Source organism: Homo sapiens, chromosome 15 (genome assembly GCF_000001405.40).
Source record: "Homo sapiens chromosome 15, GRCh38.p14 Primary Assembly".
Classification (NCBI taxonomy): Eukaryota; Metazoa; Chordata; class Mammalia; order Primates; family Hominidae; genus Homo; species Homo sapiens.
The window spans coordinates 40,835,788-40,859,835 of record NC_000015.10 but is presented as its reverse complement, the minus strand read 5'-3'; the positions used below and the strand labels follow the sequence as shown (position 1 = coordinate 40,859,835).

The 24,048-nt window shown below is 51.1% G+C and overlaps 1 protein-coding gene and 1 long non-coding RNA gene across 12 annotated transcripts, besides 7 other annotated features; one reads left to right on the top strand and one right to left on the bottom strand.

Annotated features, from left to right (window-relative positions):
* SPINT1 (serine peptidase inhibitor, Kunitz type 1) lies at positions 1,629-15,788 on the bottom strand. Of its 9 annotated transcripts, none has more exons than NM_001386873.1 (11): positions 15,558-15,788; positions 14,807-15,346; positions 6,585-6,712; positions 6,209-6,347; positions 5,907-6,125; positions 5,750-5,776; positions 5,314-5,439; positions 5,147-5,197; positions 3,774-3,944; positions 3,513-3,560; positions 1,629-3,066 (listed from the first exon to the last, which is right to left on the bottom strand). In NM_001386873.1, exons 2-11 carry the CDS (start codon positions 15,279-15,281, stop codon positions 2,861-2,863), a joined length of 1,590 nt encoding a protein of 529 aa, NP_001373802.1. In that variant the 5' UTR covers positions 15,282-15,346; positions 15,558-15,788; the 3' UTR covers positions 1,629-2,860. The 9 variants fall into 9 exon arrangements, with proteins under 9 accessions (NP_001373802.1, XP_047288924.1, NP_857593.1 ...); XM_047432968.1 differs by having other exon boundaries at positions 5,955-6,125; NM_181642.3 differs by having other exon boundaries at positions 15,650-15,788.
* Positions 1,705-1,754: an enhancer, noted in NCBI's record as "active region_9267". NCBI's record gives its function as "activates an Ori minimal core promoter by ATAC-STARR-seq in GM12878 lymphoblastoid cells {active_cell/tissue: GM12878}" and the evidence as "EXISTENCE:reporter gene assay evidence [ECO:0000049][PMID:35858748]".
* Positions 15,107-15,346: a silencer, noted in NCBI's record as "silent region_6344". NCBI's record gives its function as "represses an Ori minimal core promoter by ATAC-STARR-seq in GM12878 lymphoblastoid cells {active_cell/tissue: GM12878}" and the evidence as "EXISTENCE:reporter gene assay evidence [ECO:0000049][PMID:35858748]".
* SPINT1-AS1 (SPINT1 antisense RNA 1) lies at positions 15,312-23,843 on the top strand. 3 transcript variants are annotated; one of them, NR_146466.1, is made up of 3 exons: positions 15,312-15,657; positions 21,150-21,293; positions 23,554-23,843. It is a non-coding gene; the product is annotated as an SPINT1 antisense RNA 1 (long non-coding RNA). The 3 variants fall into 3 exon arrangements; NR_146468.1 differs by lacking the exon at positions 21,150-21,293; NR_146467.1 differs by lacking the exon at positions 23,554-23,843 and having other exon boundaries at positions 21,150-21,421.
* Positions 15,637-15,696: a silencer, noted in NCBI's record as "silent region_6343". NCBI's record gives its function as "represses an Ori minimal core promoter by ATAC-STARR-seq in GM12878 lymphoblastoid cells {active_cell/tissue: GM12878}" and the evidence as "EXISTENCE:reporter gene assay evidence [ECO:0000049][PMID:35858748]".
* Positions 15,637-16,215: a biological region, named in NCBI's record as "NANOG-H3K27ac-H3K4me1 hESC enhancer GRCh37_chr15:41135819-41136390".
* Positions 15,644-16,215: an enhancer, noted in NCBI's record as "NANOG-H3K27ac-H3K4me1 hESC enhancer chr15:41135819-41136390 (GRCh37/hg19 assembly coordinates)". NCBI's record gives its function as "activates a minimal SCP1, AML or CMV promoter by ChIP-STARR-seq in primed H9 embryonic stem cells {active_cell/tissue: H9 hESC(primed)}" and the evidence as "EXISTENCE:reporter gene assay evidence [ECO:0000049][PMID:30033119]".
* Positions 15,777-16,006: a silencer, noted in NCBI's record as "silent region_6342". NCBI's record gives its function as "represses an Ori minimal core promoter by ATAC-STARR-seq in GM12878 lymphoblastoid cells {active_cell/tissue: GM12878}" and the evidence as "EXISTENCE:reporter gene assay evidence [ECO:0000049][PMID:35858748]".
* Positions 16,168-16,350: a silencer, noted in NCBI's record as "fragment chr15:41135684-41135866 (GRCh37/hg19 assembly coordinates)". NCBI's record gives its function as "represses an EF-1alpha promoter that drives an FKBP-Casp9 reporter gene in an ReSE screen in phorbol 12-myristate 13-acetate-treated (for megakaryocytic differentiation) K562 erythroleukemia cells {active_cell/tissue: K562(+PMA)}" and the evidence as "EXISTENCE:reporter gene assay evidence [ECO:0000049][PMID:32094911]".
* Positions 23,844-24,048: the final 205 nt, after the last annotated feature.

Below are 24,048 nucleotides of genomic sequence, written 5' to 3'. Positions count from 1 at the left end.
AGCTTGGGAGACGCTAGGATAACTAAGACCTGGTCAGCGCCCTGAGGAGTCTTGTCTGGATAAAGGGAGACACACACTAGCTTGGACTTATGCGTGCAGCGGAGCTGTGTAGAGCAGGAGTGCGTGGAGAGGGCAGCAATGAACTTTGGCTGGAGAGCCAGAGAAAGCTTCGTGAGCTGGAACACGGGGTAAAGTAGGAGCTTTCCAGGGCGGAGGGGACTTCTGAAGTGGAGGAAACTGCCTGTTCAGGACATGGAGGTAGGGATCAAAGTTCTGAGTCATGTGGGTGGGCACAGAGCAGAGGATGGCTGGGGCGGTCTCAGGGATAAGGAGAAGTTTGGGGACCAGACTGTTTTGTCACCGTATCTGCATCCCTGCAGCCTGCACGCCAGAGTGTAAGCGCCAGGAGAGCAGGAGCTGTGTCTTGGCGTTCATTGCTCCACTCCTGTCACCTGCCTGAGACTGAGTCCTCACATCCTTGCAGGAAGAACACGGCATCCAGTCATAGTCACAGCGCCCCCTAGTGACCCCCGAGAGCTCCCACCTCCTCGGGCACTCCCTCTGCACATGCAAGCAGCTGTTACTAGGGGTGGCCCTTTGCCTGGCATCCTCTCACTTGATGTCTATCCCTCCCTGAGAGGATGTTCACTTCAGGCCAACAAACCCTTATTAAATACTTGCTCTGTGTTGATCACTGTTCTGGACACTAGGGTAGAGTCTGAGAACCAACTGATAATGGGGGTTGTTCCCAGTAGGGATCAAGTCCGTTTTGAGCCTCGAAGGATGGACGAGTGTCAGAGTAGGGGGTTAGAAGGGAAAACACGGTGCCCTATGAAGTGGAACAATGGGGATGAGCCCCACCCCCTGCCGCTTACTCAACATTTACTAAACTACGATTTACCAAGGTCACAGAGGGAGCATGGGGTGCCGGGAACCCAGACACAACTGGATGCCATCTGCGGCTCTGGGATCTCACAATCCGGCAAGAAGACAGGCAGTAAAGGAAATAAGAGGTGCTCTGGGCTCAGGGTGGTGTTAGCAGACACAGGGGTGTGAGGCAGGGAGTGTCCACCACCTGCAGTTGTGTGGGAGGGTTTTGAGCTTAGGCTGAGGCGTGCAAAATGGGGAGGTGGTCCATGAGAGCACGAGTCCAAAACCAGGTGTTATCCATCAAAACGAGGCCTGTCCCGGCGTGCTAAGAAGGTTCTGCTTCTTGATCTGGGTGCCTGCCTCAGAGGTGTGTGTCATTATGGAAATTCACTGAGCTATACACTTATAACTTCATATATGTACATTCATGGTAGTTGTACTTGCTTAAAATTTGCTTTTAAGTCCCCCCCCACCCCCACCAACCCCGATACCTCTTTTGTAAGACTAAACTCTGGGGATCCAGTCCAATCTCAGCTCTAGGGCCTTGGGGAGGAAATTTCAATGAATTAGTTTCTTCACCTGTAAAATGCGGATGATTGTATTGTCATCACAAGGGCTGTGTGCAGCGCCAGCAACTCGAGATACGTAAAGCATTTAAATAGTGCTTCCTCTGCCCCTCTCAGCAGTATCAAATTTCTAATGATTGGCAGTGTCTGGCACAGAGGAGCTCAATGTAATTCACTGAATAAACGAACGAATGAGCTCAAAGTATGATTTTTTTTTTTTTTTGGCACCGGGAGGTAGCTTGAACAAATGCAGGGGTGTGGGTTGGAGTGGCGTGTCTCTACTAAAGGCTCCTGGGAAGGAGCTCAGAGCCTGGTTGGGGGTGCTGCACTCCAGCGCAGAAGCCAGGGCTTCTGTTGGGAGGGAGACAGCTAGTCACCTGGGCCCTAACATGGAGGTAGGAGCCAAGGTGCCTGTGCACCCCTAACCCCAACCTCCAAATGAGCAGAATTGTGGAGAGCTCAACCACTCAACAGGCTTGTGGAGAGGCTCACACCAGGAAGAAATGCTACACAGCAGCACTGCAGCCTCCCCACACTCGTGGCTCCCGTGGCCCGCTCACTCCTCCCCTCTGGTGGTCAAACATGGCACTGCTCTCCAAAGTCAGGGGCCAGGCCAGTTTCGAGAGAGACGATGGGAAAACCTGCTCAACAGGGTGGCTGAAGCCTGAACCAGCTGAACAGGACGGTCCCATCACCCCCCAGCAACCTAGTCCCTCTCCTGGCCCACAGAACAGAGCCAGAAACTCCACAAACCACTTTTATTACCCAGTGGGCGGGCTGGGCTGTGATGTTGGAGAACCTTGGGGGTGGGGGCTGCGGAATGCAGCTGAGCTTCTCCTGGCTCTGTCTGCTGGTCTAGGCCAGGGTGGGGCTGATCAAGGGCAGAGAGCTCAATCTTGGGGGAAGAGGAAGAGAGGATAGAGAGGCCAAACAGGCCTCTTCCCCTCCTCTTCACCCATGCCACAGCATTAAATAAACAAAAAGCAACTCTTTACAGCACAAACTACACAGGGAAGTCCTTCCTCCCAGCCCTGGGCGCACAGCATGGAAGAGGAGCTCGGGAGGACAGGGTTGGGGCCTCCAGGGTCTGACACCACCCCACTCCTCTTCCTAGCACCATGGGGTAGGGACAGGCAGCTTTGAACAGAGGAAACAAAACTCCAACTTCCTCCAAACTCCTATGCAGGCAGGTCCATCTAGTCTGGTACTTCTGGCCCAAGGGTTTTCTGCTCCTTCCAAACCTTTGAGCTTTCTCAGGACGTGAGCTTAGCTGAGACTTCTCCAAGAGGGGCTGGAGCCCTGGTCTCTGAGGCACAGTGGGCCTGGGAAACAGGCAAGAGTCTGGTTCCAAAGTTTTTCCCAGCCCAGGCCTCTGCCTTGGCAAGCAGGAAGCAGGGCCAGGTGAGAGCCGGTGAGACCCAGGCTCAGAGGGGCCGCGTGGTGTGGTTATAGACCAGGTGCTCCGTGTCCTCGGTAGTGGAGACAGTGGAGCTGGCAGGGGTGGGTGGTGGGTGGTGGTGGTGTCCGTGGAAGTCCTTTCTCTGGTTCTTGAAGAAGCAGTAACCCAAGATGGCTACCACCACCACAATGCAGATGACCAGGAACACTGCGACAGCCATCTCCACAGAGCCTGGGGGAAGAAGGGGTAGAATAAGGGGCTCCCAGGGCCTGCCTGGTTCTGACACCCACCCCCAATCTATGGAAGAGACCAAGTCAAATGGATGCCAGGTATGGAAGGACATGGGCACCCGACTCAGACCTCCCACATATGAACAGCTGAACAGCTCTGTCCAGGAGCTCAGAGGAACTCTGGTGGGCCTCAGGTCTCAGCTCAAGTCGCTCTCCTTGCAGTTAACTTGGGGGAAGCCTGGGACGCTGCTGACAGACATCGGCACGCACTTTACTGTACTCCCTCCCTCGTGTGTGGCAGGCATCCCCATTTGATTACGGTACTCTGTCTCTATAGGCCACCTTGGCATCCTTCTCAACACAGGTTAGGCTGTCACAACAGGTGGAGTTGATCCGTGAGTTGATACCTACATGCTAACCTCAGTTACAGGACAGATCAGGGCTTACCTGTGCTGGGAATGGGGATTTCCCGCCTCAGGCCAAACACATCCTTCTCTGCAGAATGATGAGGGGAAAGACCAGTCAGTACTGAGGGCTCAGAGACTCAGCTGCTCCCCAGTGCCCCAGACCTCACACTGGCATCCTCTCCCACTCCTACTCCAGGCGCTCTGAGGATGGAGGGGTGACTCCCAAAGGCCTGGGGACAGAGTGGAGGCCACTGGCTAAGCCTTCCCCCATACATGCCCACCCTCTCACTGGCCCACTCACTGGAGATGCCGCGACAAGACTCGAGGCACTGCTGCTCTTCCTCAAAGTTGTTCTTGTTGCCGTAACAACCACCATAGGTAAAGCGGGCGCAGTGTTCGCTGAAGGGGTTGTAGTACCAGCGCGGGATGCTCTCCTTGCAGAGTCCTGTGTCTGGCAGGTCCACGCAGTGCCCTGGGGGGTATGGGGTAGGCTATGGTGAGCGAGTCCATGGCCTCCCTGCCACCTTCTGCTAGGCTCCACGTGGCTGCTGCCCAGCACCTCCCCACCTGCCATGGCTCAGGGAGGGCCTGAGAGGCCCCAAAACACCTGGCCCAGCTGCAGTGGTGCCAGAAAAGGGAAGACAAACCCTGGACAATAACTGTAGGCACAAAAGTAAACTACGCCGACTCATAGTTATTTCAATTTTCTTTCAGCTTTTCTGACTGGGTCACGGTCTCAGTTTTCCAACACTGGGTGGTTTACCTCTTTTTTTTAAAGACAGTGTCTCGCTATGTTGCCCAGGTTGGCCTCAAATTCCTAGGCCAAGCGATCCTCCCACCTCAGCCTCCCTAGTAGCTGGGATTCCAGGTGTAAGCCACCACGCCTGGCTGGTTTACCTTTCTTAAAAAAGAGGATGGGCCTCAGGGTCTGAGCCTTGGCAGGCAAGCAACTAGCTAGAGCTTATTATTATTATTATTGTTTTGAGACAGGGTCTCACTCTGTTGCCCAGGCTGAGGTGCAGTGGTTCCATCTCAACTGACTGCAGTCTCTACCTCCCAGGTTCAAGTGATCCTCCTACCTCAGCCTTCTGAGTAGCTGGGAGTACAGGAACGCGCAACCACATCCGGCTAATTTTTGTATTTTTTGTAGAGATGGGGTTTTGCCATATTGCCCACGCTGGTCTTGAACTCCTGAGCTCAAGCAATCTGCCAGCCTCGGCCTCTCAAAGCGCTGGGATTATAAGTGTGAGCCACCACGCCTGGCAAGCTAAAACTTACTGTTTTATTATATTTATTTGTGTTGTTTTTCAATGTTTGGCAAGTAATAGTGGCTTCCCATTTATGGTAGTGATGTGAAAGTTCCTTTTTAATATATTACATTTAAAAAGTAACTGATTAAGTAAATAAGATCTGAGCAATATGTGGTGGACATGGCTGAAGTTATGAAGGTGTTCGGAGAATGAGTGATGCCTGGAAAACACAGAGCCACAGAAGAAAGCCCAAGAGCCAGCCAGGGAAGAAGCTGAGCCATCTGGAGAACGGGGAGCCCACCCTGGCTCTTTGTGCCCACAGGCCCGTACACCCAGCAGGCCCCTCAGGCACTGCTGGATGGAAATAGTGAGGATGGCAGTGTCAGCGTCTGCCCTGATCCAGGGCACCTGGGGAGGATCTCACCTTTGTCACTGGGGAAATGGATGCGCTGGAGCTCGTCAAAGCCACTCGTGTCTGCAGAGAGGAAAGGTCAGAGTCTCAGACCCAACAAGGGTCTCCCAGGGGTTCAGGGCAAGGCTGTCAGGACCTCCCTGTCTGCTGCCCAACCCCCTCTATCCCCCAGGCCTCACATTTTTCACAGGCAGCCTCGTCGGAGGCGTCGGGGCAGTTGGGGGTGTCGTCACACTCCAGGAAACTGTCGATGCAGCAGCCATTGCTGCAGCGGAACTGGGTGGGCTGACAGGTGCCAGAGCACACTGGACGGGTGGAAGGGAGGTCAGGCTCAAGCAAAGAACAAGTGCCCAGGGCCCACCTTCTACTTGGCCCTCTCTGCCCAGACACAGCACATCCCCCATTCCCTTTCCACCAACCCCACTCCTGCCCCACGCAAACTGGGCAGATCCTCATAGGACGATGCTGGGCTGGAAGGGGTGGGATGTTTGTGGTCCTTCCACAAACTCTGAGGGGAGGAATGGCTTGGTCAAAGGCAGGCTGCTTAGGGGCATAGGGATGATATGGGCTAGAGATGTGGTGGGGATGGGGGATGGGGAGGGGAGTAAAGCCCACCTGGATGGCGCCTTTCCATGGAGGGGCCTGGGAGAGAGAACAGAGAATGAGAGGAGGCATGACCAGGCTCCAGTGGGGATGAGATAATTGGGGTGGGTGGGCAAGGGAGAGCTCCCACCACCCACCTCCCTGGCCACAGAAGAGAGAGACCACTCACCCTGGGGGAAAGTCGCCTGAGCCCCAGAGCTGCCTCTCAAAGGCCCACCTTGCACACCCCGACAGGCTAGAATGCACTCTTCTTCCCGAAGGTAGTTGTTCTTGTTGCCCAAGCAGCCTCCATAAACGAAACTCTTGCAGATCTGCTCCGTGGGGTCATAGTACCAGCGTGGGAAAGAGCCCCGGCAGCGACCCACCTTGTTGGATGCGAGGCAGTAGTCTAGGGGGGAGAGCTTATGAGGGGACCGTGCGGCCAATCCGCACAGCGGGGGCTCCAGGTGCTGCTCCTCACCCCTCCCTCACCTTCTGTCTGCTTGGTGGACAGCACAGTGACTGTGACGTTGGCCGTGTCCTCTGGGTGGTCTGAGCTAGTCACTGTCAGCTGGAACAGGTAGGTGCCTTCCTTGAGTCCCCACAGTTCCACCTGGTTTGGGTCTTTCCTCTGCACACAGGAGTGGCTATCAGGCTTGGGCACCCCCTGATGCCCTTGGGCTGCCCCAGGCCTGGCCAGACACACACCCACACCCCTGGGGAGGCCAGGGGGAGTTGGATTAAATGCATCTTCAGCCTCTCTCCACCCCATCCCATCCGGGGCCATTGGTTGGCCTAGGGCCCCAGAAAGGGGCTCCAAGAAGGCTGGCAGGCAGAGGGCGGGGTCAGAGTCAGCCCAGTGTCTCACCTCTACCCTGACATCCGTGTCACCCCGCAGTAGGCGCCAATCTGTGTTTTCCACATCCTTCAGCACCAGGGGTTCCTGGGGTTGTACCTTCAAGTCTATGCCTGCCCAGGCCTTGGGGATCCCAGACCCTGGCGGGGAGAGAAAGTGAGATAAGGTCAATTCTCACTAGATGGACCAGGCTTCTCTCAGGAGCAAAGTGGGGTGGTGAAAGTATGGGCCCCACCTAGACCAAACTGGGACTCCACAGCCTGCATGGGGTGCGGGTGGGAGCCCCCAACAGAACCAGCTTCTTGATCTCTATTCAGAGAGAGCATGTTTTTGGTATACTGAAGATATTTTTATGTTGTAACCCACTTTCTTTCCTTTTTTTTTTTTTTATTAGAGATGGGGTCTTGCTATGTTTCCTAGGCTGGAGCACAGTGACTATTCACAGACTCTATCATGGCCAGTACAGCCTCAAACTCAAGCAATCCTCCTGCCTCGGCCTCGTGAGTAGCTGGGACTAAAGGTACAATTACCACACCCAGCTGTAAAACCCTCTTTCTGAAGCAAATTACTGAACAAACTGCCATCTGATCTTATTGAGTAAACACACACACACACACACACACACACACACACACAGACACTTACTTGAGGGGATAGGCTTATTTCTATTTTCTACAATAGAAATACCTCAGACAGACTCGGCCTCCAGTTACAAGGGGTCCCGGGAGCCACGCCCTTCCTTGACTTGACAGTGCCTGTGTCTGAGGCTTCCCCACCTCAGGGTCAGGCATGGGGGTGGGTGACAAGCACAGTGCAGGATCGCTGCCTGTAGGGGGCTGAATGGTGGCCCCTCAAAGATATGTTCACATCTAACCCCTGGAACCCATAAACGTGACCTGATTTGGGAAAAGGGTCTTTGCAGAAGTAATTAGGATCTCCAGATGCGATCATCCTGGATTAGCTGGTTAGGCCCCAAATCCAACGACAAAGTATCTTTATAAGAAACAGAAGAGGAGAAGACAGAGTGAAGGAAGAGAAGGCCACGCGAAGACAGAGGCAGAGACTAGAGTGATGCAGCCACAGCCAAGGTACGCCTGGGGCCACCAGAAGCTGGAAAAGACAAGGAAGGATTCTCTCCTAGGGTCTTTGGAGGGAGCACAGCCCTGCTGACACCTTGATGTGGGGCTTCTGGCCTCCAGAACTCTGCAAGAATAATTTTTTTGTTTTGTTTTGTTTTGTTTTTGAGATGGAGTCTCACTCTTTCATCCAGGCTGGAGTGCAGTGGCACAATTTTGGCTCACTGCAACCTCCGCCTCCAGGGTTCAAGCGATTCTCCTGCCTCAGCCTCCCGAGTAGCTGGGATTACAGGTGTGCACAACCATGCCCGGCTAATTTTTGTATTTTTAGTAGAGATGGGGTTTCACCACATGGGCCTGGCTGGTCTTGAACTCCTGACCTCAAGTGATCCTTCTGCTTCAACCTCCCAAAGTGCTGGGATTACAGGCATGAGCCACCACACCTGGCCAAATTTGTTTTAAGCCAACCAGTTCATAGCCATCTGTTACAGCAGCTCTAGGAAATTAATACGTTGCCCTTCAGAGGATTAGTCCAGTTGGGCAGATAAGACCCCACGACATGAAGCAACACGTGGACTAAACAAGGCAGTGGACATTCAGAGAAAGGAGGCCATGGCAGGCTAGGGGGATAAGGCAAGGCTTTCTGGAGGAGGGAGAAAGGATTTTTTGATTTTTTTGTTTTTGTTCTTGTTTGGTTGTTGGGAGAATGTAGGGTGTTGTTGAAAATGGCAGAACACAGCTGGGCGCGGTGGCTCACGCCTATAATCCCAGCACTTTGGGCGGCCAAGGCGGGCAGACACAAGATCAGGAGATTGAGACCATCCTGGCTAACACAGTGAAACCCCCTCTCTACTAAAATACAAAAAATTAGCTGGGCATGGTGGCACATGTCTGTAATCCCAGCTACTCAGGAGGCTGAGGCAGGAGAATCGCTTGAACCTGGGAGGCGGAGGGTGCAGTGAGCCGAGATCGTGCCACTGCACTCCAGCCTGGCAACAGAGCAAGACTCCGTTTAAAAAAAAAAAAAAAGAAAAAAGAAAATGGCAGAACACATGAGAAACCAAAGCAAGGAGTTAGGAATTTGCAAGGCCAGTTCGCTGGGCTTGAGTTGATCTTAAAGCGTCCTGGAGGCCAGGCCAGGGTGTTTGGACACAGCAGGAGTAACATTCAAATATTAAACAACTGGTAGTACAGAAAGGGGACAGACACTGGCCGTGAGCAGTGGCGTAGAGTCCTGGAGGCCAGCTGCACCAGACATTGACCTCCTAGATACATGACAGAGGTCCAGGAGTTCAAAGGGAGGGGCCCAGGGCTTGGGCAGCAGGAGCACTCCTGAGCTCTGAGCAGCAGCTATTTTCCCATCTGTTTGGAAGCATTCTGTGGAGCGAGGAGGCTGGCAAGTATACCAGTGCAGCGGTCCAGGGCAGATGCAACAGGAGTGGCCCAAATGCCAGAGCAGCCAAGGGAATGGAGATAAAGATGTGAGAAACAACGCTGGGCTGATGCTTCTGGCTTCTCCCCTGCCAGTCTCTGGGAACTGGGAAGGAAAAGCCAGGGTACAGGCAGAAGGGAAACCGGATTTAGAGGGAACATATAGGTTAAGTCATAAGAGAAGTTAAATTTGGGAGAAGGCAGGCCACCCGAACCAGCAGACAATGACAGACAGGCAAGGGTTGGAAATAGAGGCACTGGCTGAGTGTATGCTGGGCAGCATGCTAGGTACTCTACCTGCATCAGCTATAGCTTAGCATCAGCTAAGCCTGCAGGCCAAATCCAGCCCACCATATCTTATATTTTGGAATGGATGAAAAAACAACAGCCGGGTGCGGTGGCTCACGCCTGTAATCCCAGCACTTTGGGAAGCGGGGCGGGTGGATCACCTGAGGTTGGGAGTTCAAGACCACCCTGACCAACATGGAGAAACTCCATCTCTACTAAAAATACAAAATTAGCCGGGTGTGGTGGCACATGCCTGTAATCCCAGCTGCTCGGGAGGCTGAGGCAGGAGAATTGCTTGAACTCAGGAGGCGGAGTTGTGGTGAGCCGGAGATCGCGCCATTGCACTCCAGCCTGGACAACAAGAGCGAAACTCCGTCTCAAAAAAAGAAAGAAAAGAAAAAGAAAAAACAAAAGGAGAATCCTTTGTAATGACATGTGAAAAGCACATGAAATTCAAATTTGTGTCCATCGATTGGAACACAGCCTTGCCCACACATTTACATGTTGAGTATGGCTGCTTTCATGTAACAACAGCAGAGCTGAGCAGTCGCAAGTGGGACCCTATGGCCCACAAAGCCTAATAATTTCTATTTAGATCTTTACAGAAAAAGTTTATTGACCCCTGGAGTCCATGATGTACCTTCAAAACCAGCCTGCTACACCTACATTCTCACCCTCTTTTCAGATGAGAAAGTTGACACCAGAAAGATTAAATGGCTTGCTCAGAGTCATTCAGTTTCTAAAGGCAGAGCTGGGATTTGAACCAAGGTCTGTCAGACTCCACAGCAAATGCTCTCTCCAAAACGTAATTCTATAGGTTATCCACCCCCTCAGAGGTTGTGATTTTAATTGCTTTTATAATGTTGGGTTTTTAAATTTTGCTTTTCTAGTTTAGGTAATACATATATGACATAAAATTCAAAAGGTGGCTGGGTGTGGTGGCTCATACCTGTAATCCCAACACTTTGGGAAGCTGAGGCAGAAGGATGGCTTGAGCCAAGGAGTTTGAGACTAGCCTGGGCAACATAGTGAGACCTCGTATTTACAAAATAAAAAATTAGCTAGGTGTGATGGTGTGATGGCTACTTAGCTATTCATGAAGATGAGGTTGGGAGGATCGCTTGAGCCTGTGAGGTTGAGGCTGCAGCGAGCTGTGGTTACACCACTGAACTCCAGCCTGGGTGACAGAGTGAGACCCCATTTCTCTCTTTTTTTTTTTTCCTGAGACGGAGTGTTGCTCTGTTGCCCAGACTGGAGGGCAGTGGCGTGATCTTGGCTCACTGCAAGCTCCGCCTCCTGGGTTCACACCATTCTCCTGCCTCAGCCTCCCAAGTAGCTGGGACTACAGGTGCCCACCACCACACCCGGCTAATTTTTTGTATTTTTAGTAGAGACGGGGTTTCACCGTGTTAGCCAGGATGGTCTCAATCTCCCGACCTCGTGATCCGCCCGCCCCGGCCTCCCAAAGTTCTGGGATTACAGGCGTGACCCACCGCGCCCGGCCCGACCCCATTTCAAAAAAAAAAAAAACAGAAAAACCAAAACCAAAAGGTACAAAAGCCTAGTCAAAATTAAGTCACCTCTTCTCCTTAAGAAGGAACCTTCTCCATCAGGTTTATTACCCCAAAGGTATGTATGAGACAGAGAGAGAGAGAGAATATCAAGAGACAGTATTTGAATTCACAAGCATTTGAGTTCTTCATCTTGTTTTGCCCTTTATATATATTGGAAATCATTCCATAGTGACACATAAAGAGTTTCCTTTTGTTGTTGTTGTTGTATCATATTCATTGTATAAATGCACCACAATTTATAATTTATTTAAACAGTCCCTACCAGTTTCCTGATTTAGATTTTCTTTCTTTCTCTCCTAAGAACTAAACCATGCTACCTTAGGGTTTATTATTATTATGAAAACAGCATCACAGTATTCAATTATAGGATGTGTTGACAGACAATGCGATTGTTTCCAATTCTTCGTTATTATAAACAATACTACGGGGACTAACTGGCTGGTAAGTTGTTTTATCCGTGTGTAGGTACAGCTGCAAGATGAATTCCTACAAGTGGAATTGTGTCCAGGGCTGTGTGCATTTAGGTTTGATAGATATTGCCCAACTACCCTCCACAGAGGCTCTCTAGAGAGTTTTTTCAAGTGTTAGAGTGAATGCAAAGAAAGAAGAGAAGGTAAAGAGCTAAGAACAGCTGGTAGGAGGCCGAGTCTCAGGGATTCCTCTTTGATGAAGTAGAGAAAGCAGAGCCAATGGGGGACTCACAGAAGGTGGTTCTGGGGCTGAGAAGACCAGGATGCACAATGACAGCAAAAGGGATGGGAAGGGAGAGATTTCAGGAAGAAACATGTTGAATGTTTCAGAGGCCTACAAAAATAGTAAAAAGAGAACTGGGTTCCAGGGATTAGGGAAAATAAGACAGGGATGAGCAGGAACGAAAAGTGGCTGTCTGGAGGCAACCTCCCAGCCCAGGGGCTTGGCTGACAAACAGGAGAGTACCCTGAGAACACCTGCCAAGGGAGTAGCGAGCTGGGAGGAGCGCAGTCCTCCCTCCTTGCATTTTGTAGAAAGAAGACAGACTACTTAGCAGTCTGCCTAGCAGACAGACAGGCTAGCCCCACCAGGCCCCCAGAGTGGAAGTAGCATGCAGAGTGATGCATCAGACTTTGAGCTGAATCAGGGGCTGAATCCCACCCCAACACAACTCAGTCCTCTCCAAGCCCCAGCCCCCAGGACCAAGGAGCAGGTACCTTGCCTTACCACTCCCTTCCTCCCACCCGCAAGAGAGCAAAGGGCTAGAGTGGCAATAAAACCAGCCCCTCCCCCAGTTAGTTACCAGGTCTCAGGACCTCAGGGAAGTGCAGACTCCGCCTCCTAAGCCACTCCTTCATAGGACTGGGGAGGAGGAGAGGTGGGGGAAGAGAAGGGGAGAAGAGGAAGTGCAAGCTGCTCCGCCTCCAGCTGCAGGAATCTGTACTGGCCTGGCCTGGCCACAGGCAGAAGGAGGAACAAACAAACCCATTCTGGGGAGCATTTATCTATGCAATAGGAGAATCAAAGGTTTGGAAGCTCTCAGTGCCCGTGACCCACGTCACCCAACCCACCTCATCCACCCTAGCCCTTAATGGCTCTACCCTGTCATTACCCACCTCCAACCTCTCTAACTGGACCCAGGTGAGAATAAACCCCTTGACACACACACAGCTTTTTCCTCTTCCCAAAGCACTGCAGCACTCTAAGAATGGCCTAGAATGGCCTGGAGCTCATACTAAGTCCAAGCCCTACCTGCCTCCCTCAATGTCCCAGGAAATCCCCACTCCACCCTCTCTTGTGGCAAACAGGCAGGTCCTGGGGGTTTCCAGATGAGGATGGCTGGTCTCAAGACCATGGGGCCATAGTCCAGCTAAGCTCCCTGACCAGACTCCAGAATTTCACACTCTGGCTCTGGAGAGGGACTCCCATGGGGCCTCTGTGGAGCAGGAAGGGCATGAGCAACTCAGGTCAGTAAGAGTCATCACCACCTACACTTTCTGCTACTTCCTTGTGGAACAGGCTGCAGCCCTGGTTCAGTGGGACTTGGTGGCCCAGACTGGCCCTCAGATATGTCCCCCTCCCATCCACAGGAATCCCCATCTCGCCTCTCCTCAGAGACCCAGGAGAGCTACTGGAAGGATAGGGAGGAAAGAGGACCCTCCTTAGCCTGGCAGAGAGACTAGCCCAGGAAAAGTCTGCGGAGGAAAGCCCTTTCTCCACTTTCCAGAACGGAGACCACCCCCAGATGTGGCCCCAGCCCAGTTCTGGCCCCCAAACTCCCCAATCCCCGGTTCTGTTATCCACTGGGCTATTTTGGGTCAGAATGCTAGGTTTTTACCAGAGAGATGGTCTTGTGTGAAAAACAGCACAGGACTTTTTTTGGAGGTCTCCCCTGGGGTGAATCTCAGGCCTACCATTTATGGGCAGTGTTACCCTGGGCAAATTCTTTAACATGGGAGTCTTAGTTTCCTAATCTAAAAAGTGGGATGACTGCTAGTAGCACCCTTTTTGGAAGTTGTTGTGATGAGGCCTGAGTGAGAGGATGTGTGGCACAGCAATCAGTAAGCTGTAAAGTGCTCACAGAGGTTATGAGAGGTGACCTACCCCTGCCCTGGAGCCCCACCTGGCCAGAACAGCAGGTAGAGAGAAAGGGGGAACCAAGGCTCTGGACTGGCCCTGATCCCAGCAGACAGTTCAGTCCGGGGAAGAAAGAGGAGGAGCCCTGGCCTCCGCTTTGCCTTTATCTATGGAAGTAAACAAGGTTTGGCTACCAGATTCTAAGCAGGGAGAGCCCTGTCTGGCTCATGCGCATGCACACACACCTGCCTGGACAGCTGACATCCCTTCCCTACTAGGTATACATACCAACAGGCTGACTCACCCCACAACCCTCCTCATCCCCCACCCCAGAGCCTCTAGGCTTCTGTGCCTACAACATCACTTCTCTCCCTTTGGATCAACCGCAGACTGGGCTTGTTTTCTAGTCTCGGATCTGGCAGTCTTCCTGGACCACCAAAAGGCCAATGCATTCCTAGGGGGTAGAGAGATGCTAAGCAGTCCCAAGTCCAGCCAGTGGAGGAGACTATGGCCAGGCTCACCTGACAGGGCATCGGTGTGCCCAGACCAGTGCTTGGCCAAGGTGCCTTTCTAGTCACCAGACCATCCAGACAGCTCACTCCTTCAATCAGCCTATCAGTGCCAGAGGTCAGGAGTCCTGGGGACTTCCTCTCCCCTCCAGTACACACAGCCCAGAGCCAAAGGCCTCCCTGTGAGCACCAGCCCATCACCTCTGAACATCCTGAGTTCAGGAGCCAGAGCCTGGGCCCTGCCCTCCCTACTCATGTCCCCTTTCATTTGTTTACTGTTTGTACTGCCTACTACCGATGTGAAGGCGATCTGGCTGTGACATCTGTCACCCCATTGATCACCAGGCTTGATTCGGCTGTACTGCCTACTTCTAAGGAGGGCTTCAGGTAGAAATAATCCCAGCACTTTGGGAGGCCAAGGTGGGTGGATCACCTGAGTTCAGAAGTTCAAGACCAGCCTGGCCAACATAGTGAAACCCCGTCTGTACCAAAAAAAAAAAAAAAAAAAAAAAAAAAAAAATTAGCCGGGTCTGGTAGCGGGTGCCTGTAGTTCCAGCTACTCCGGAGGCTGAGACAGAAGAATCACTTGAACGTGGAAGACGGAGGTTGCAGTGAGCAACCAGAGATTGCGCCATTGCACTCCAGCCTGGGCGACAAGAGCGAGACTCCGTCGCAAAAAAAAAGAAAGAAAAAGAAAAAAAAAAGTGAACTCTCCTTAACTCCTCTCTGATGTTCGTCTCCCCTAGGACCCCATAACCAGTCCCTTTTTTGAGTCTCTCCAAACCCATCCATCTTGGCACCCTCCTCACCTCCAAAGCCCTGGGTCCGCAGCTGGCGGTAGGAGCGGTACACTTCCCTCGTGAGGTAGTTGATGAAGCCCTCCCTGGGCGCGAACTTGCACACGAAGTTCTGCTCGTAGAGGCAGTTGATGAGGAAGCAGGCGGCGATGGCGTCCTCCCCGCGGTCGGGCTGCAGCTCCACTAGCGCCAAGTTGCAGTTCTGGGTGGTGCAGCAGGCGCGCACGCAGTCCCAGCCCCGGCGCACGGTGGGGGACTCCAGGAAGGTAGCTCCGTTGCTGACCGAGGCGTTGGTGTCCAGCACGAAGCCAGGCACCCCGGCGGTAAAGCTGTTCAGGCAGTCGGCTCCCGCGGGCAGCCCAGGGGGCGCGGGCGGTGGCCCGGCCTGGGTGCCCTGGAGGCCGAGCGTGCACAGAAGCCACAAGGCGACGGCAGGGATGCCGGCCGGGGCGAGGCGGGCGCGGGCCATCGTCCTCGCAGGGGCCATCGCCTTCCTCCCCAGGGGGGTCACCTTCAGAGCGCGGGCCTCTGGGTTCCGAGGGTGCTGGTGACCTGAGAAGAAGGGAGGGGACAGAGGAGGAGACACACCTGATCAGCCCGGGAGACTTTGGAGGAGGCGGGCCGGCCGGGAGGAAGTGGCGGGGAGGAGGGACCGGAGCACCCCAGGATCGAAGAGGGCGCACGGGCCCGGCCCTCCCACGCGCCCTCCAGGGACCCGGCAGCCAGACAGACGGACAGGCGGACCGCTAGGGAGCTCAAGTACCCGGACACACGCACGAGCGCAGAACAAAGGGCCGGACATGCTCCAGCCCGCTCCGCCTGCGCCTCGGCCTTGCGCGCGGGGGCCCGGGTTACCTGCGCAGGTGAGTTGGGTGGGGCCGGGTCCGCCGAGGTTCCGGTCCCAGCTTCCTGCGCGGCTCGGGTCGCGGCTTCCGACCCGGTGCTCGGAGAGCTGGGGCTCGGCCGCCTTCTCCCCCTGGTTTCTGGTGAAACTGAGTCAGCGCCGTCGGGGCGGGGCCGACATTCACCCTTGCGCTGCCGGCCCCGCCCACGCCCGGTGCGCTGCGGCCGCCTCTAGCGCGGAGCTCCAGGCCCGGCCCGCCCCGCGGCCCCGCAGCCCCGGTGCCTCCCCGGCAGCCAGCTCCCCGGAGGGGCTCTCGGGCTCCACCCAGTCCAGCCTCGCGAGGGAGCCCCGCGCCCGAAGCGCATACCCAGCCGGGAGGGGATGCGGCCGGGACGCGAGGGTCCGGCCTCTGGGGCGGCGGCCTCCAGTCTTCCTTTCCGGCCGGGGCCTGCTTTCCCAGCCCCAGACCTGAGGCCCGATGCAAATGATCTTTCCGGCCCTCAGGAAATCATTTCCATTTCGTGGCGGGAAGGTAACCCAAAAGTTGCGTGGCTGCACCTGTGATAACAGGGATCCGGGATGTCTGCCTCACTGTCAGCTCCGGGAAGCCCTCCCTGCTGTCAGGGTGAGAAACGGAGGCGATTCCCCGCGTCCAGGCTCCCCTGCGTGCTCCACGGGGCTTCCCTGTTGTTCGAGGCCCCTCCTCATCTTGTATGTACAGTTCGGTCCATTCCCTGCTATGGCTCATTGGACTGTTGCCCCCTTCCCTGGAGCCCAGGCTTCCTCTCTTTCACAAAGGGGACGCTGCTGGCTACTTTCTTCCAGGGAAATGTCATCCTTGGAAGCCTGGAGGTTCCAGTTCACCAAGTAGCTGAGTTAATGCCCTTCACGAAACAGTGGACTCCTTGAAGCCAAGCTCATTGCTCCTCCTGAGTAAAAAACTCTTAAGAGACCATTCTCTACGGCAAGGGTCTGAACAGGTGAAAGACAGATGAAGGCAGGGCTGGAGGAAGGAATCACATAGCATGCTCTCTTAAAATACAGATTCCAAACCTTTTCCTGATGGCTTAACAACCCCCAAACCAATGGGAACATTCTTCCCAGTTTCTCATCCAGAGCAGCTTTGCCTAGCAGATCCTGTGGCCAACCCTTGGATTTTGCTGAACTGCAACATCCTCCAGCTGCTCACATGATGCGTGTTGGGGTGGGAATCTGGGGCCTGTCTCCCCTTCTCTGGATGTTTAGGGTTTATCCACAGACCCTGGCACACTGGTGGATATACAACAATGGTGGTATGCTGGGAATGAAGAAAATGATTGTGCAGTCACTGGGAAGAAAGGGTTTTGTTGTGATTTGATTTCCCCTTATGGCTAACACATTCAAGAATCTTTATTTATTTATTTATTTATTTTTTTTTTTTTTTTTTTGAGACGGAGTCTTGCTCTGTCACCCAGGCTGGAGTGCAATGGCACGATCTCGGCTCACTGCAACCTCTGCCTTCCAGATTCAGGAAATTCTGCCTCAGCCTCCCAAGTAGCTGGGCTTACAGGTGGGCACCACCACGCCGAGCTAATTTTTGTATTTTTAGTAGAAACGAGGTTTCACCTTTTTGGCCAGGCTGGTCTTGAACTCCTGACCTCAGGTGATCCACCCACCTCGGCCTCCCAAAGTGCTAGGATTATAGGCGTGAGCCACTGTGCCTGACCTCAAGAATCTTAATACAGGAAAATATTACCTTATGGTAATATTACATCACCATAAATTTATCATTACATCCATTATACACACCATTATAAAAACCAACATGAATTCAGCACTGACAATGCCCAAACTCTGTTCCTAAGCACTGCCCACATATTACCCTATACTCAAAACAAACCTAGGGAGGTAGTATTTTTAGCCCCATTTTACAAATGAGCAAACAGGCTCAGACAGGTAAACTGACTTGTCAGGTCATTCAGCATTGAAGCGGCAGAGTAGGGATTGGAGCCCAGGCAGGCCAATTCCATGGCTTCAGTGCTTAAACCCTGGGCTTTATGGCCTTTGCAATTCTGACTTCATCTGGAAGTTCTGCCCTCACCTCAGATTCAACTTGCTTAAACCCATAACTCACTTTCAAGTGGTGAGCACCCACCATTTGTTGAGATGCCCACTGTGTTCCCTCCAGGCACTTGACATAGGATTGCTAATGCTCAGGACAACTCTAAAAATTGCTTCCACTTTGCAGAAAGGTTCACTGACTCCATCAAGGTCAGGTAGTGAACGAAGAGTGGTGACAGGTTGTAGAGAAGTTGAACTTGTGAGCTTCAGACTCAGACTACTGGATTTAGCTCTTGCATCTGCCACTTACTATTCGTGTGGCCTTGTGCAAGTTATTTGATCTCTCTGCCTTAGTCTCCTTGAATGGGAAGTGGGGCTTCATAAGGTTTTTTATGAGGATTAATTGAGTTAATGCAGACAAAGCATTTGACACAAAGAGTTCTCAATAAATGTTACTTGAAACGACAACAACAACAACAACAAAAACACATGGTGGTGAGGATGCAGAGAAAAGGGAACGCTTATACATTGTTGGTGGGAATGTAAATCAGTTCAGCCACTGTGGAAAGCAGCTTGGAGATTTCTCAAAAACTTAGAACTACCATTCAACTCAGCAATCCTATTACTGGGTATATACCCAAAGGAAAATATATTGTTTTTCCAAAAAGACACATGCACTTGTACGTTCATCACAGCACTATTCACAATAGCAAAGACATGGAATCAACCTAGATGCCCATCAATGATGGATTGCATAAAGATAATGTACTTCATACGTACCATGGAATACTATGCAGCCATAAAATTAACAAAATCATGTCCTTTCCAGCAATACGAATGCAGCTGGAGGCCATTATCCTAAGCAAATTAAGGCAGGAACAGAAAACCAAATACCACATATTCTCACTTATAAATGGGAGCTAAGCATTGAGTACACATGGACATAATGATGGAACAATAGACACTGAGGACTACCAGAAGAGAGAAGGAGGGAGGGGAGCGTGGGGAGCGTGGGCTGAAAAACAACCTTTTAGGTAATATGCTCACTACCTGGGTGACAGGCTCATCTGTACCCCAAACCCTATACCCATGTAACAAACCTGCATGTGTACCCACTGAATCTAAAATAAAAGTTGAGGCCAGGTGCAATGGCTCATGTCTGTAATCCAAGCACTATGGGAGGCTGAGGCAGGAGGATTGCTTGAGCCCAGGAGTTCAAGACCAGCCTGGGCAACATGGCAAGACCCCGTCTCTATAAAAAAAAATACAAAAAATTAGCCAGGCATAGTGGCGCATGCCTGTAGTACCAGCTACTCAGGAGGTTGAGGTGGGGGGATTGCTTGAGCCAGGGAGGTCAAGGTGGCAGTGAGCTATGATCATGCCACTGCACTCCAGCATGGGTGAAAGAACTAGACCCTGTCTCAAAAATAAGTAAACAAAATAAAAGTCGAAATGATTCTTTTAAAAAAGTGACAGAGCCAGGATTGTATCTGAAGTCTTTTTGACATTAAAAGCCATACTTTCCATACTACCTTATGCTGCTTCTTACATACTAATAAGAAAAACTACATGTGAAGAGAAGAAAGACTATAAGGTATGCCATCAAAGTAGGGAAAGTGATGGTATTTGAATGGTGAGACTGTAGGATAACATTTCTTCTTTCTAGTTTTAAAAATATTTTCCAAGATCCCTTCAGTGAACATGGGATGCTTCCATAATGAAGAGAGAGACACACCGTGATGACCTCCACATACCATATTTGATGACAGTCTTCCTTGGTAATCACTCACATCCATCTCTTGTCTGTTCCCACTGCTGCCCTTAATCTAGGCTCTGTGCCAGCTTCCTGATGGAACTCCAGGCCACCCTGCACACTGCCATGTGGTTCCCTCCTCCAGCCCTGCCTTCATCTGTCCCTCACCTGTTCAGACCCTCAGTCATCCCCAAGAACTTCTCTGGCAGAGTGTACAGAGCCAACTGTTCCCTGGACCGACTCATGAAGTTCAGTATTTGCTTAGGCAGAGAGTGTCAGAGCTGTCAGAGGAGAGTCAGCTAAAACCCTTCCCCTGGCTGGGCACCGTGGCTTACGCTTGTAGTCCCAACACTTTGGGAGGCCAAGGCAAGAGGATTGCTTGAGGTCAGGAGTTCGAGACCAGCCTGGGCAACATAGTGTCTGAAAAAATAAATTTTAAAAAACAACCCAGCCAGGCACGGTGGCTCACGCCTGTAATCCCAGCACTTTGAGAGGCCAAGGTGGGTGGATCACGAGGTCAAGAGATTGAGACCAGCTTGGTCAACATGGTGAAACCCCGTCTCTACTAAAAATACAAAAATTAGCTGGCTATGGTGGCAGGCGCCTGTAGTCCCAGCTACTCGGGAGGCTGAGTCAGGAGAATCGCTTGAATCCGGGAGGCGGAGATTGCAGTGAGCCGAGATCGCACCACTGCACTCCAGCCTGGCGACAGTGCGAGACTCCAGCTCAAAAAATAAAATAAAATAAAATAAAAAATAAAAAAACTCTTCCCCTTACATACAGCAAACTGAGGCCCAGAGATTTGGCCTTGGTTTGTTCATAGACACAGGGCCAGCTCCAGACCTCAGGTCTCTTGACTGCCAATCTTAGGCCCTTTCCTTGATTTGAGCTGCCTTCCTGCAAAGTATTTGCAAATGATATTGTTTTTTAATTCTATACTGTGGGCCCAAGGGGAGTTCACTCTTCTCTTTTCTTTTCTTTTCAAGATGGAGTCTCACTCTGTCACCCAGGCTGGAGTGCAGTGGCATGATCTCAGCTCACTGCAACCTCCGCCTCCCAGGTTCAAGTGATTCTCTTGCCTCAGCCTCCCAAGTAGTTAGGACTGCAGGCACCTGCCACCATGTCTGGCTATTTTTTTTATTTTTTGGTGGAGATGGGGTTTCACCATGTTGCCCAGGCTGGTCTTAAACTCCTGACCTCAAATGATCCACCCACCTCGGCCTCCCAGAGTATTGGGATTATAGGCATAAGCCACCGTGCCCGGCCAAGGCTATGTAGCTCTTTTCTTAGGCCACGTAGCTCACTCTTTTCTTAGGCTGTGTAGTTCACTTTCCCAGTGCAAACTTTGGGAAAAGCTCTGTGCCACAGGCTCCATTCCTGTTTGCCACATCACAAATACCAATCATTGCTCTAAGGAGTGGATGATTTGATGAGAATATTCAGTTCTTACACCACTACTAGAGGAGGAACACTGACTGCCTTGTCGTGGATGTGGTCTGGCAGTTTCTGTAGGTAGGAGTGGTGGATTGTCTCCAAATGTGGCCACCGACAGTGCCTCCCATTCCTGTGTGTGCATGCTGCTTCTCCCACTAGAAGGTGTCTTTTACTTTCCTTCTCTTTGCATCTGGAACTTGTTTTGACCAGTTGGACCTAGCAGAAGTGGGGCCCTGTGACTTCCAGGCCTTATGAAATCTTGTAGCATTGTTTTTCCCTTTTAGAGCCAGCTGTGATGTAAAGAAGTTTGTGCTGCATGAGAGAGATAGCACCTGAAGAAAATGAGGCCCTGGAGGATGAGAGACTCTAAAGGAAAAGGGAAGGGCCTGCTGTCTTCCAGCCACGCCAGCCCCCAACTGAGAAGCTGGGTGAAGCCATCTTGCATCTTTAGCCCCAGTCAAGTTACCTCAGCAAAGACTAGCTGACCCTGCCAAGCCCTGCCCAAGTTACAGAATCATGAGCAAATAAATGGCTGTTTCTGTTTTAAGCTTTTAAATTTTGGGGGTGGTTTATGTGTCAATAATAACTGAAACAGATAATATATACAGAATAAACTTTAGTTTTAATAATCTAAGTAAAAGCCCACTAATTCATTATGCAGAAAAAAATGATTTTTTTGAGACGGGGTCTCGCTCTGTTGCCAGGCTGGAGTGCTGTGGCACAACCATAGCTCACTGCAGCCTCCACCTCCCTGGTTCAAGCGATCTTCCCACCTCAGCCTCCCGAGTAGTTGAGACCACAGGTATGTGCCACAACACCTGACTAATTTTGTAAATTTTTTGTAGAGATGGGGTCCTGCCATATTGCTGAGGCTGGTCTCTAACTTCTGGGCTCAAGCCATCCTCCTGCCTCAGCCTCCCAAAGTATTAGGATTACAGGTGTGAGCCACTGTGCCCAGCCAATTTAACTTCTATTTTAAAAAGACAGCCCCTCACAGATACTGCTACAGCTCTGTTAAATCAAATTTAGCCTCCTTACATATTTTGAGTTTGACGTAAAGGTTTCTCTGTACATAGTGAACTGTCACCTAAATGGAGGTGTAAACAGCCTGTAATCTACCCTTGTGCCAAACACCAAGTTTTGGCCAATCAAAAGGGGCCAACTGTTCAAACCCTCTTCAAATAAGGCAAACACTGAGCTGTAACCAATCTGGCTGTTTCTGTCCCTCATTTCCATTTTCTGTACATCACTTTCCTTATGCTGCCCATAAATCTCTGAGCCTACTCTGGCTCAGAATGCTGCCCAATTTACCAATCGTACTTTGCTAAATTGAACTCTTAAATTTAATTTGACTATGGATTTTTTTTTTTGAGACAGAAATTTGCTCTTGTCGCCCAGGCTGGAGTGCAATGGTGCAATCTCAGCTCACCACAACCTCCATCTCCCGGGTTCAAGTGATTCTCCTGCCTCAGCCTCCCGAGTAACTGGGATTACAGGCATGCACCACCATACCTGGCTAATTTTGTATTTTTAGTAGAAACGGGGTTTCTCCATGTTGGTCAGGCTGGTCTCGAACTCCTAACCTCAGGTGATCTGCCCACCTCAGCCTCCCAAAGTGCTGGGATTACAGGCGTGAGCCATTGCGCCTGGCCTAATTTGGCTATGGATTTTCTTTTAACAGCTCTTAAAGGGTTGTTTTTTGTTGTTGTTTTTTTTTTTTTGAGATAGAGTTTTGCTCTTGTTGCCCAGGCTGGAATGCAATGGCTCGATCTCAGCTCACTGCAACCTCCGCCTCCCAGCTTCAAGTAATTCTCCCTCAGCCTCCTGAGTAGCTGGGATTACAGGCATGCGCCACCATGCCCGGCTAATTTTGTATTTTTAGTAGAGATGGGGTTTCTCCATGTTGGTCAGGCTAGTCTCGAACTCCCAACCTCAGGTGATCCACCCACCTCGGCCTCCCAAAGTGCTGGGATTACAGGCATGAGTCACTGCACCCATCCTGTTTTTATTTTATTTTATTTTATTTTATTAAGTTCTGGGGTACATGTGCAGGATGTGCAGGTTTGTTGCATAGGTAAACATGTGCCATGGTGGTTTGCTGCACCTATCAGCCCATCACCTAGGTATTAAGCCCTGCATGCATTAACTATTTATCCTGATGCTCTCCCTCCCTCCAACCTACCCCACAGGCCCCAGTGTGTGTTGTTCCCCTCCCTGTGTCCTAAAGGGTTATTTTTGAGGAATTATTCTAATGTCAGAAATGCTCACATGAGGGTGGAGGGTACAGGGAGGTGATAATGAAAGGATACAATACCTCAGGAGGAAGTTTGATATTTTTGTTTGAGATCTATTGTACATGGCAAATATAACTAATAATTGAGTACTGTACATTTCAAAATTGCTGAGAGAATAAATTTCAAATGTTTTCATTATTAAAAATATTAAACATTTGAAAAAAAAATGTTCACAATATTCCATTGTGGTAGGTTGCTTCTAAATGGCTCCCAGTGATCCATACCTCCTGGTACTCATGCCTTGTATAATTTCCTCTCCTTGAGTGTAGTTGGACCTAGCGACTTGCTTCTAATGGATAGAATCAAGCAAAAGTCATAGGATGTCACTTCCTGGATTTGGTTACAAAGACTGTAACTTTCTCTCTTTGTCTCTCTCTCTCTCTCTCTCTTTTAGTGCCCTTGGTGTGGTGGAAGCAAGGTGCCATGTGATAAGTAAGCCTCCAGAGAGGCCTGCATGGCAGGATCCAATGTCTTTAGCCAACAGCATCTGGGAACCTGAGACCTGCCAACACCCTTGTGAGTGAGCCTGGAAGTGGACCTCCTGCTCTTGAACCTTGAGGTGACTATAGTGCTGGCTGACACCTTGACTGCAGTCCCTGAGCTGGGGGGCCCAGCTGATCTACTCCCAGAATCCCCCCTACTAAAACAGTGATATAATAAATGCTTATTGTTTCAAGCTGGTAACTTTTGGAATGCATTCACTGAAAAAAATTAGAATATCAAACTATAAACCGTTTACTTAGTCAACTTTTTGGGGAACTAATATGGCCATAAATATCAAACCTCCTACAATTTTGCACATTCTTTGACTTTGTAGTTCTACATCTATAAACTTCTCTTAAGGGAAATCATGGATGCCAACAAAGAAATAGTTACAAAAATGTTCAGC

Coding starts and splice junctions, on each gene's coding strand:
- SPINT1 (NM_001386873.1), bottom strand. CDS start 15,281: ATGGCCCCTGCGAGGACGATGGCCCGCGCCCGCCTCGCCCCGGCCGGC. Junction 6,348..6,584: donor ACACGGATGTCAGGGTAGAG/GTGAGACACTGG, acceptor TCCTGTGTGCAG/AGGAAAGACCCAAACCAGGT. Junction 3,561..3,773: donor GTCTTGTCGCGGCATCTCCA/GTGAGTGGGCCA, acceptor ATCATTCTGCAG/AGAAGGATGTGTTTGGCCTG.